The sequence below is a fragment of the Homo sapiens genome, chromosome 2 (genome assembly GCF_000001405.40).
Source record: "Homo sapiens chromosome 2, GRCh38.p14 Primary Assembly".
NCBI lineage: Eukaryota > Metazoa > Chordata > Mammalia > Primates > Hominidae > Homo > Homo sapiens.
The window spans coordinates 84,939,183-84,951,766 of record NC_000002.12 but is presented as its reverse complement, the minus strand read 5'-3'; the positions used below and the strand labels follow the sequence as shown (position 1 = coordinate 84,951,766).

Below are 12,584 nucleotides of genomic sequence, written 5' to 3'. Positions count from 1 at the left end.
CATGTTGGCCACGCTGGTCTTGAACTCCTGACCTCAGGTGATCTGCCCGCCTCGGCCTCCAAAGTGCTGGGATTGTAGGCAAGAGCCATCACGCCCAGTTGAGCATCTTTTCTTGTGCTTATTGGCCACTTGTATATCTTCTTGGGAAAAATATCTATAGCAATATATAACTTTACACACAAATATCCATCTTTTCTAGTACAGTCTGAGACTGTGCAGGAGGTCTGACAATTGCTTCTTCAGTTACCATCAGTGGTTAGAGTGGAGGGGACATATCCCGAGACATGCTTGGAGGAGAAGGAAACTGTGTTGGTTGATATTTTTCCTCAAAGTTGCTTCTCTTGACTGTCAGGTGGCATATGACTGTGGGGATTAAATTGAGTACTGAATATGGGCAGTGTGATATTCAGCAGCTCACACTGGTTCAGTGATATCAATTATTTAAGTCCTGCATCTGGCCGAGTGCAGTGGCTCATGCCTGTAATCCCAGCATTACGGAGGCCGAGGTGGGAGAATCACTTGAGTCTGGGAGGTCGAGGCTGTAGTGAGCCATGATTGCACCACTATACTCCCGCCTGTGTAAAAGAGCAAGTCTGTGTCTCAAAAAAAAAAAAAAAAAGGAAGAAAGAAAGGAAGAGAAGGAGGAAGGGAAAGGAAGGGAGGGAGGGAGGAAGGAAGGAAGAAAGGGCCGGGCGCGGTGGCTCACGCCTGTAATCCCAGCACTTTGGGAGGCCGAGACGGGCGGATCACGAGGTCAGGAGATCGAGACCATCCTGGCTAACACGGTGAAACCCTGTCTCTACTAAAAATACAAAAATTAGCCGGGCATGGTGGCGCGTGCCTATAGTCCCAGCTACACGGGAGGCTGAGGCAGGAGAATGGCGTGAACCCGGGAGGCGGAGCTTGCAGTGAGTCGAGATCGCGCCACTGCACTCCAGCCTGGGCGACAGAGCGAAACTCCGTCTCAAAAAGAAAAAAAAAAAAAAAAAAAAAAGGAAGAAAGGAAGGAAGGAAAGAAGGAAAGAAAGAAAAACACAAAAGTTCTTCATCTGTTCTGATTGGCTGATGTCTGAGCCATAATCCTTATTGAACATTTGGAATACCATGCCTGCCTATACAATATCAAGCACTTGTGCCTGGCAAATGCTTGGTAATTGCTACTTTCCTTTCTTTCTTTCTTTCCTTCTTTCCTTCCTTCCTTTCTTTCCCTTCCCTTTCCTTCCCCCTCCCTCCCTCCTTTCCTTCCTGCCTCCCTCCCTTCCTCCCTTCCTTCCTCTCTCTCTTTCTCTCTCTCTTTTCTTTTTTTTTCTTTTCTGAAACGGAGTTTTGCTCTTATTGCCCAGGCTGGAGTGCAATGGCACGATCTCGGCTCACTGCAACCTCTGCCTTCCGGGTTCAAGCGATTCTCCTGCCTCAGCCTCCTGAGTAGCTGGGATTACAGGCGCCCGCCACCATCTAATTTTCTGTATTTTAAATAGAGACAGGGTTTCACTATGTTGGTCAGGCTGGTCTCAAACTCCTGACCTCAGGCGATCCACCTGCCTCAGCCTCCCAAACTGCTGGGATTACAGGTGTGAGCCACCACGTCCGGCCTCTCTCTTTCTTTTCTTTTTTTCGACAGGGTCTCACTCTGTTGCCCAGGCTGGAGCACAGAGGTATGATCATGGCTCATTGCAGCCTTGAACTGCTGGACTCAAGCAATCCTCCTGCCTCAGCTTCCCGAGTAGCCGGGATTACTTACAAGCATGTGCCACTGTGCCCAGCTAATGTTTAAAATGATATCTTTCCCTTTACTTTTGGGCTCCTTTATGTCACTCCATCACTGACAGTAGGCCATCCACGGCTCGTATCTATGTTTCACTGTTCTGCATCCCTGAATTTTCACCTCATCCTGGATCCTGAAGCCTGCTTTGATGCTCTTTGGTGAGTGTTCTGGTTCTTTATTATGAAAATGAGATTTTTCTGTACAGCCCTTTGCCTTGGCAACTTTGGCAATTGCTCCTATTTCCAAAGTTGCCCCTGGAGCCACAATGTCTATTAATGTGAGGGTCCACTCTTAAAGGAAACATTTCTGTACGGATACATTGGGTTCACACTTACTAATGTTCTCACTCACTGATAGCCGTGGTGGCCATCAACTGATGTAAATGTTTTTTTTTCTTTTTTTTTTTTTTTGAGACAGAGTCTCGCACTGTCACCCAGGCTGGAGTGCAGTGGCGTGATCTCGGCTCACTGCAACCTCTGCCTCCCAGGTTCAAGCGATTCTCCTGCCTCAGCCACCCGAGTAGCTTGGATTACAGGCGCGCACCACCAGGGCCAGCTAATTTTTGTATTTTTAGTAGAGATGGGGTTTCACAATGTTGGCCAGGATGGTCTTGATCTCTTGACCTCGTGATCTGCCCGCCTCAGCTTCCCAAAGTGCTGGGATTACAGGCGTGAGCCACCGGCGCCCAACCAACTTATGTAAATGTTGAAAACGAAAGTGTTAATTTTGAGATTGTTTGCTAATGCTGAACAAATGGAAACAATTTAAATGTTATTAACAGGGACTGGCTAAATAAAGCATGATACAGCCATATATTGCACAGGTTGGCATACTTTTTCTGTAACGAGCTAGATAGTAAACTCTCCGGGCATTGTAGGCCACAGTCTCTGATGCAACCTTTCAATTCTGCTACTATAGTGCAAAAGCAGGCTGAGACTCTATGGAAAGGAATAGGCATGGCTATGTTCCCATACAACTTCTTTTAGGTGCTGGGCCATATTTGGTCTAGAGGCCATACTTTGCTGACCCTAATATAATAAGTCTTACTATGTGACCATTAAAAAGAACCAAATAGAATTATATGTACTGACAAAGATATCCATCAAGTTGTTTTTTTGTTTTGTTTTGTTGAGATGGAGTCTCGCTCTTGTTGCCCAGGCTGGAGTGCAATGGCGTGATCTCAGCTCACTGCAACCTCCGCCTCCCAGGTTCAAGTGATTTTCCAGACAGCCTCCTGAGTAGCTGGGATTACAGGCGTGCGCCACTACACCCAGCTAATTTTTGTATTTTTAGTAGAGATGGGGTTTCACTATATGTTGGCCAGGCTGGTCTCTAACTCCTAACCTCAAGTGATCCGCCCACCTCGGCCTCCCAAAGTGCTGGGATTACAGGTGTGAGCCATCACACCTGACCCCATCAGGTGTTTTTTTTCTTTTTGTTTTTGTTTTGTTTTTTTTTTTTTTTAAAAAGAATATAAGGCCAGGTGTGGTGGCTCACGCCTGTAATCCCAGCACTTTGGGAGGCTGAAGCGGGCGGATCACTTGAGGTCAGGGGTTCAAGACCAGCCTGACCAACATGGTGAAAACCTGTCTCTACTAAAAAATACCAAAAAATTAGCCAGCCGTGGTGGTGCGCTTCTGTAATCCCAGCTACTCGAGAGGCTGAGGCAGGAGAATCGCTTGAACCTGGGAGGCGGAGGTTGCAGTGAGCCGAGATCGTGCCACTTCACTTCAGCCTGGGTGACAGAGCGAGACTCTGCCTCAAAAAACAAAACAAAACAAAACCAACCAAACAAAAAATATATATATAGCTGGGCATGGTGGCTCACGCCTGTAACCCTAACACTTTGGGAGGCTGAGGTGGGTGGATCACCTGAGGTCAGGAGTTCAAGACCAGCCTGACCAACATGGTGAAACCCCGTCTCTACTAAAAATACAAAATTAGCTTGGTGTGGTGGTACATGCCTGTAATCCCAGCTACTCGAGAGGCCGAGGCAGGAGAATCGCTTGAACCCAGGAGGTGGAGGTTGCAGTGAGCCGAGATCAGGCAATGGCCTGATCTCCAGCCTGGGTGACAGAGCAAGACTCTGTCTCAAAAAAAAAAAAAAAAAGAAAGAAAAAAAAGAATAAGAATGTATAGGCTGAGCATGGTGGCTCACGCCTATAACCCCGGTACTTTGTGAGGCCAAGGTGAGAGGATCGCATGAGCCCAGGAGTTTGTGACCAGCCTGGGCAACATAGTGAGACCTTGTCTCTACTAATATCAAAAACAAAAAACAACAAAAACAAAACAAAAAGTATATATATATATATGCATGTACATTTTTTGGAGGGGGAGGAGAAGGGGTCAAAGTTACACACACAGACACTTGTGTTTCTATAGGCTGACAGGACACAGGAGTCACACCAATTTGGGACCCATAGGCACTTTTTCTTACGTTATTGTTTGAATGTTGTACAATGAGAGAGCTTGGTTTTTGAAATAATTAAATGTAATTGAATTGAGATTTGTTTTGTTTCGTTTTTTTGAGACAGGGTCTCACTCTGTTGCCCAGGCTGGAGTGCAGTGGTGAGATCATGGCTCACCGTAGGTTCCACCTCCTGGGCTCAAACAGTCCTCCTGCCTCAGCCTCCCGAGTAGCTGGGACTAAAGGTGCATGCCACCACGTCTGGCTAATTTTTTGATTTTTATTTTTTTGTAGAGATGGGGTCCTACTATGTTGCCCAGGCTGGTCTCAAACTCCTGGAGAATTGGGCTTAACCAGTCCTCCTGCCTTGGACTCCCAAAGAGCTAGGATTACAGGCGTGAGCCATCACGCCTGACTGGGATTTGTTTTTAAAGTTCCAAAGAGCTTTACTAGTCTTAATCGTAATGTACATAAACTTGTATTCTATGTAAAATATAACAACTTCACAATCATAATAACCATACAGCCATCATTAGCACAGCGCCTCTAACCCACAGCCTCTTACGATTATAAATGGGAGTTCAGATAGATCCATGGACGCAGGGGAGGTTTGGTTGAGGAGCCAGGTCAGAGTCTTGGTTGGAAACACATGCAACTGTATCTGGAACCAGGGTCTGAGGCGAGCTGGGGACAGAGGGACCTCACTTCCAGCCTTCTCTATCAGCAACCCTCTAACATAGAGCTATTTCCAGGTCTAAAGGGTCTCAGAAATGTTCCAACAGCTTCTAGCTTCCTGGGCATTAGCTGCATTTTCACCTACCGGTAGCCCTAGTTCCTCATTTGCCAAAGGCCCACTGCAGGCCGGGCCCTGGTGCCAGCAGAGGAGGTCTGCACCCTCACAGCTGTAGCAGGAGGGAGACGTGCAGAGAGGTGAAGCTCACGGCCCTGGAATACGTGCACCACGGAGGTGAGTGCAAGTGGGTGGGGACTTTGTGGAACAAGTCACATCTGAGTCACTCTGAAGTATGAATAGGAGTCCACCTCATCAACCAAGGCAGGGCAGGAAATTCCAGGCAGACAGTAGTGCAGGGATGAAGGTCCAGAGACGGAAATACTTTTGAAGGCACCATATGAAGTTTATGAACAGAGGTGGAGCTGAGACACCACAGATCAGAAAGGGGAACCAGCAGAGGGTAGCAAGCAGGGGAGACAGGAAGTCAAATTTGAGCTTTAGGGAGATTTTTCTGATGGTAGGGGAGGAGAATGTGTGGGTAGAGCAGTTACTGGCCTCTTGTCCGTATAAGAAGTAATGTGGGCCTGGACTTGGAGCAGAAGTGATTCAGACCTTGCTCGCCTCGCCTCTGAGCCATATTCAAAGCTGCCCTACCAGCCTGCTGTGTCCTCTCCCCTCCCCTCCCCTCCCCTCCTCCCTCCCCTCCCTTCCCCTCTCACCTCCCCTCTCCCCTCCTCTCCCCTCCCCTCTCCCCTCCCCTCCCCTCGTATACTGTTGGTGTGCCAGCTCTCCTTTAGTCTTCAAACTTAAAGCTTGGGTGTCACCCACATCAAGAAAAGTCTATTGACTGGGTGTGGTGGCTCATGCCTGTAATCCCAGCTACTCAGGAGGCTGAGGCCGGGGGATCCCTTGAGCCCAGGAGTTCAAGGTTGCAGTGAACTATGATCACACCACTGCACTCCAGCCTGGGTGACGGAGCAAGACCCTGTCTCAAACAAAGCAAAACAAAAAACCCCAAAAAACTCCACTGATGTCCCCACCCCATCCCCCACCATTCCCGAGCTTGGTCAGGGACCCCTGCCCTGGACTCTATGATGCTCTGTGCATTTCTTTTCTTTTCTTTTCTTTTTTTTTTTTTTTTTTTTGAGACAGAGTCTCACTGTGTCATCCAAGCTGGAGTGCAGTAGTGCGATCTCGGCTTGCTGCAATCTCTGCCTCCCAGGTTCAAGTGATTCTCCTGCTTTAGCCTCCTGAGTAGCCAGGATTACAGGCATGTGCCACCACGCCCAGCTAATTTTGTATTTTTAGTAGAGACAGGGTTTCACCATGTTGGTCAGGCTGGTCTCGAACCCCTGACCTCATGATCCGCCCACCTCGGCCTCCCAAAGTGATGGGATTACAGGCATGAGCCACCACGCCCAGCAGCTCTATGCATTTCTGAGTGTGAATCCCATTGCTTTATGATTGTGTTCTGGTTTTTGTTTTACCACTAGATTGTGATTTTCCTACCAGGTCTCATTCATTCTTCTGACTCCAATGCCTATCACAAAGCCTGGCACAGAGAAGATAAGAGCAAATATTTGTGATTGAATGAGTAAATGATGAATGAAAAGTGAAGACGGGAGATGAGAGAGGTATTTGGAGGTGGAATCAGGGTAACTTGGCAAGTGATTGGCAGGGATAGTGCAGAGGGTGGGTGGTGAGAGGGTGGCATCGAAGATGACTCCAGGTTTTCTGGTTTGGGAGTAGGGGAGCTCTGAACTGTTTTTATTCACAATACTTCTGCCACCAAATGTGTGAGTTTTTTCTTATACTGACCAGTTATTCAACTCTCCAGATACCAATTGGGTATCCAACAAATCAATTCCATTCTGACATTATCTACCTAGAATTAGTGTCAATGCCACCAAAGAGCTCCATCCCGCAAGACTGCCCTGATTTCAGATGTCGGTTGCTGGTACCAGGTTACCATCTGTATTTCTAACCAACCAGCTATAGAAGTCCTAGGTTACCACAACCCCCTCTTCATGTTCAATAATTTGCCAGAATGGCTCACAGAACTCGGAAACACTTTCGTTAGGCTTACCACTTTATGATCAAGGACATATGCTCAGAGACAGCCAGGTGGAAGCATAGGGCATGGTATTGGAGGGGCACGCAGGGCTTCTATGTCTCCTCTGGGCAGGCCGCCCTCCTAGCACTTCAGTGTGTTCACCAACTGGAAGCTCCCCGAATCTCATCATTTAGGGGTTTTTATGGAGGTTTCATTACACAGGCACAATTGATGAAATCATTGACCAATGCTGATTGACTCAATCACCAGCCCCTTTTCCTTCCTGGAGGTCTGGGGATGAGCTGAAAGTTCCAATTCTGTCATGCCTTGGTCTCTCTGGTGACCAGCCCCCATCCTCAAGCTATGTCGGGGACCCCCAGCCACCAGGCACCTTATTAGCACACAAAAGATATCATTCCAGGGATTCCAAGGGTTATAGGAGCTGCGTGCAAAGACTGAGGACAAAGACAGAATACATATTTACCACAGGAGGTGCTGGTGCCATTAGCCAACATGGGAGATATGAGAAGAGGAGCAGATGCCGGGCGCAGAGGCTCACGCCTGTAATCCCAGCACTTTGGGAGGCTGAGGCAGGTGGATCACCTGAGGTTGGGAGTTCAAGACCAGCCTGACCAACATGGAGAAACCCTGTCGCTACTAAAATTAGCTGGGCATTGTGGCGCATGCCTGTAGTCCCAGCTACTCAGGAGGCTGAGGCACTAGAATCGCTTGAACCCGGGAGGTTGTGGTGAGCTGAGACTGGGCCATTGCACTCTAGCCTGGGCAATAAAAATGAAACTCCGACTCAGAAAAAGAAAAAAAAAAAAGAAGAGGAGCAGATATGGGAAGGAAGATAGTTTCAGTTATCTACTGTGTCGGTGACACAAACAACAACAATTATTTATTTATTTATTTATTTATTTTTTGAGAGAGTCTTGCTCTGTCACCCAGGCTGGAGGGCAGTGGCGCAATCTCGGCTCACTGTAACCCCTCCTTCTCCCAGGTTCAAGCGATTCTCCTGCCTCAGCCTCCCGAGTAGCTGGGATTACAGGCGAGCACCACCAAACCCCACTACTTTTTCATATTTTTAGTAGAGACGGGCTTTTACCCTGTTAGCCAGGCTGGTCTCAAACTCCTGACCTCAGGTGATTCACCCGCCTTGGCCTCCCAAAGTGCTGGGATTACAGGCAAGAGCCACCGCACCCAGCCTTTAACAATCATTTATTATGTCTCCTGGTAATTGGGGGGGACTGGCACATTCATTCCCACTCCTGGACCAAGTTGACAACCCCAGCTTGGCTTGGCTTCTGACTGACCCATTTCCCTTTCTCTCCCATATGTTTACATACCTGTTGTATCTCAGTGGAGGCAGAATGCCTTTTATTGACCTTGTTTCACCCATGTATCTATGGATCTTTCCTCTCAGTCTTCATCGGGGGGCCTCTTACCTGTATGCAGACCTATAGCTCAGGCCTCCAGCAGCTTTGTGAAATAAAATTTGTCATGTGACTGATCTTCTATAGTCAGAGAGAACAGAGAATATATGCTAGAGCTCTTTCTCACATGTAACTGAAAGCCTCACTTTAGGCATGACTGGATCTAGGGATGTAAATGTGGCAAGGCCCTTGATTTCACTCCCTGATGATTCAGTCTCACTTCCTATCTCTCAGCTCTATTCTTGGGGGGGTTCTCTGTGTGGTGGCAAAAAATGGTGATAGTAGGCCAGGTGCAGTGGCTCACGCCTGTAATCCCAGCACTTTAGGAGGCCGAGGCAGGCTGATCACTTGAGGTCAGCAGTTCAAGACCAGTCTGGCCAACGTGGTAAAGCCCCATCTCCTACTAAAAATACAAAAATTAGCCGGGCGTGGTGGTGGACGCCTGTAATCCCAGCTACTCAGGAGGCTGAGGCACCAGAATCGCTTGAGCCCGGGAGGCAGAGGTTGGTGAGCTGAGATCACACCACTGCATTCCAGCCTGGGCAACAGAGCGAGACTCCATCTAAAAAAAAAATGGTAATAGTAGTTCCAACTCATTCCTTTCCAGATCAAGTCAAGCCAAAAAGGGCAAGCCTTTTATCCACAGGTGCCTGCAGCAGTGCTGAGAGTCACTCTGATGGGGCCAGTAGGGTCATTTGCTGGCCCCTGAATGGATCTCTGAGGTCAGGAACCTGCAGCAGGGTCTTGTGCTGGAGAAAGAGGGGTGGGGAACAAGCAACAAGTATTCACTTTAAGGGGCAATGCTCTGAAATCCCTCCCCTATGCAGATGGAGCTCAGACCACCAGTCCAGTGCCTGGCACATTGTAGCCCTCAAGAAATACTTCTACTTCTAAAAAGATGGCACCACAGAGCCATGACTAGGATTCTGAGACAGAAGCTATGTCCTGGCCTTGTGGCCAGTGTGGGCCCAGTGAGCGGAAGATACCTGCTGGCTGAGTCAGGATACTCTACACGCTTACAGGGCACTGACCCTTTTTGTTTTAGATGTTTAATTACTAGTCTGTCTAGGGAAATACAGGTGAGAAGACAAAAATCCCACACATGGGGAAGTTGCAGAGTCATGAAATCTCTTAAGGTGATTATAGCCTTAGTCCTTACAGTATATAGTTTCCAGTTGTTTTCCTGAGATTGAACCTAGAAGCCCAATTTATCATTTTTTTTTTCCTTGAGACGGAGTCTCAATCTGTGGCCCAGGCTGGAGTGCAGTGGCATGATCTCAGCTCACTGCAACCTCCGCCTCCCGGGTTCCAGAGATTGTCCTGTCTCAGCCTCCCAAGTAGCTAGGATTACAGGCACGCACCACCACACCTGGCTAATTTTTGTATTTTTAGTAAAGACAGGATTTTGCCATGTTGGCCAGGCTGGTCTTGAACTCCTGACTTCAGATGATTGTCTCAACTTGGCCTCCCAAAGTGCTAGGATTACTGGCGTGAGCCACCACACCTGGCCCAATTTATTAATTTTTTTCACTCATCTAATAAAACCCTTGTTGATCATCTAAGAGCTCTGGGCCAGACACTACAGGTGTAAAGGTGAATAAAGGCCTAATCTTTTGTTTTTGTTTTTGTTTTTCTTGAGACATGGTCTCCCTCTGTCACCCAGGCTGGAGTGCAGTGGTACGATCTTGGCTCACTGCAACCCCAGCCTCCTGGGCTCAAGTGATCCTCCTGCCTCAGCCTTCCGAGTAGCTGGCACTACAGGTGTGAGCCACCACACCTGACTAATTTTTATATTTTTTGTGGAGATGGGGTTTTGCCATGTTGCCCAGGCTGGTCTCCAACTCCTGAGCCCAAGCAATCCACCCACCTCGGCTTTCTAAAGTGCTGGGATTACAGCGTGAGCCACCACACTGGCCAATAAAGCCAAATCTTAGCTCCTAAGAAGTTCACAGCCAGAGTGGGGAGAGTGACTAAACAAATGACCATGGTGAATTTCATAACTTCAGATGAGAAAGGTATAAAGGAAGAGCTTTGGAAGGAGAGAGCTGCCCCCTCCTCCAGGGGCTCACTCACCTGTGGGCTCTGTAGAAGCCCTCTGAAAAGCAGTTTCTCAGCACAGTGAGCTCGAAGTCGTCTCCATTCACACCTGGAGCACCGCCCTGTATTGCAAATGGGAGGGTAAAGTTGGTGTAAATTTTATGGAGGGCAATTTGGCAATAACTAACAAAATTTTGCCACCATTTTCTCTTCTAGGACTGCTTCTTTCCTTGCATGTGTATGAAATTACATTTGTATAAGGTGTTGCATGGCAGCACTGTTGGTAATAACTAAGACTGGAAGTAACCTCTGTGCTCAACATAAATAACAATGATGGTGCAACTGCATAAAGAAATACTATGCAACTATAAAAAAAAGAGGAACCTCTTTAGGTACTGATCTGGATCATTCCAAGATATCCTGATATATGAAAAAGCATGTATCTGAACCCTGTTATATTAATAATATGCTGCCTTTTGTAGGAAAAAAAGGAAAAAAGTATATATATGCATACACACTCATATAATTTGTATATGTATAAACTAGCTCTGGAAGGAAACAAAAGAAACCAGTAGATCCTCTGGGGAAGGGAACTGGGTGTCCCAGAGTGGGAAACTCCACTGTGTATTCTTTTTACCATTGGAATTTTGAACTTATTATGTTTTGTTTATTTATTTACTTATTTATTATTTTTTTGAGACGGAGTCTCGCTCTGTTGCCTAGGCTGGAGTGCAGTGGTGCCATCTCGGCTCACTGCAAGCTCCGCCTCCTGGGTTCAAGTGATTCTTATGCCTCAGCCTCCCAAGTAGCTGGGATTATAGGTGCCTGGCTAATTTTTCTATTTTTAGTAGAGACGGGGTTTCGCCATGTTGCACAGGCTGGGATTTCAGGTATGCGCCACCACACCCTGCTAATTTTTGTATTCTTAGTAGAGACAGGGTTTCACCATGTTGGCCAGGCTGGTCTCAAACTCCTAACTTCAAGTGATCCGCCCACCTAGGCCTCCCAAAGTGCTGAGATTACAGGAGCAAGCCACTGTGCCTGGCCTGATTTTTTAAAGAGCTCCCTCCCCCAGTCTCCCTAGCTGAGATTGGGGGGTGAGGGCAATTTGCATCTCAGGGAAGGTATGCTGGTCTCATTTCATCTCAATGATCCTTTATCTCCTCCACCAGAAAGCCCATCTTTGGTCATTTCTTTCTTCACATTGACTTGGCATAAACTTTTAACGTTATCAACAACTGCTTAGCCTAATATTAGCTTTCATTTCCCTTCTCCTTCCCACAGAAGGCTTTGTGCTTTCACGAACTCCCGGTTTGGTCAGGCTAAGGTTCTGGATTTCAGTCTTGGCTCTAGCGGCCGGCAGCTGTGTGGACACTCTACCATCTCAGTCTTTATTGCTTGACAATTGTAGCTGCTTTCAGCAAAGTTTGTTAAGCTCAGGGGCTGTTCCAATTGTCAGTTCTTCCTCCTCTGGTGGGGAAAGTCCCCTTTAAAGCCACGTGCTTAAAACTGAAACCTGCAGGCCATCACAAAGGCGGGGTCTCCACACCCATCTCAGCTCCACCAACTGCAGGCTCCCAAGTACCTCTTACACCCTTGCTGATGACCGCCCTTGGAGGAAGTTCAAGGCCAAGGTGGCTTGAGAAACCCAGCTCTTGGCAGTTTCTAAATCTAGATTAATTTTCCCTCCAGAGAGGAAATTTTGTTGGTTGCAACCTGGTTGCTGCCATGTGACCAGGCTTGGCCAGTCCAGATCTTCCCCCAGGTAGAAGGATCTGGATAGACTGACGGCAGACAAATAGAGACTGTTCTCAGCAGCCACGGCAGTAGACTGCAGACTGCAGCCTTAAGTAACCACCCCCCACCCCTACCCTCATCCCCTTCACTTTCACCACTACCCTTTCACATCACCACCATCATAATCACTACCCCTGCCGTCACACCAAGGTCACCTTACAACTCCATTTGTCTAGCAGAGACTTCACTGAAAGATTGGGGTAATAACTAAATAACTGCAGAGGATGAACATGGTCATGTATCTGTGTAGCTAAAGGAACAGTCCCAGTGCATCCCATGGATCTGAGGGAGGCCTAAGGAGCTCTACCAGGAACATCCCTTCCCTGCAGACCTGCTGGTGGGTCCGCAGCTCAGCA

The 12,584-nt window shown here is 47.7% G+C and overlaps 4 annotated features.

Annotated features, from left to right (window-relative positions):
* Positions 5,184–5,353: an enhancer, noted in NCBI's record as "active region_16113". NCBI's record gives its function as "activates an Ori minimal core promoter by ATAC-STARR-seq in GM12878 lymphoblastoid cells {active_cell/tissue: GM12878}" and the evidence as "EXISTENCE:reporter gene assay evidence [ECO:0000049][PMID:35858748]".
* Positions 5,524–5,673: a silencer, noted in NCBI's record as "silent region_11691". NCBI's record gives its function as "represses an Ori minimal core promoter by ATAC-STARR-seq in GM12878 lymphoblastoid cells {active_cell/tissue: GM12878}" and the evidence as "EXISTENCE:reporter gene assay evidence [ECO:0000049][PMID:35858748]".
* Positions 8,379–8,468: an enhancer, noted in NCBI's record as "active region_16112". NCBI's record gives its function as "activates an Ori minimal core promoter by ATAC-STARR-seq in GM12878 lymphoblastoid cells {active_cell/tissue: GM12878}" and the evidence as "EXISTENCE:reporter gene assay evidence [ECO:0000049][PMID:35858748]".
* Positions 11,749–12,258: an enhancer, noted in NCBI's record as "active region_16111". NCBI's record gives its function as "activates an Ori minimal core promoter by ATAC-STARR-seq in GM12878 lymphoblastoid cells {active_cell/tissue: GM12878}" and the evidence as "EXISTENCE:reporter gene assay evidence [ECO:0000049][PMID:35858748]".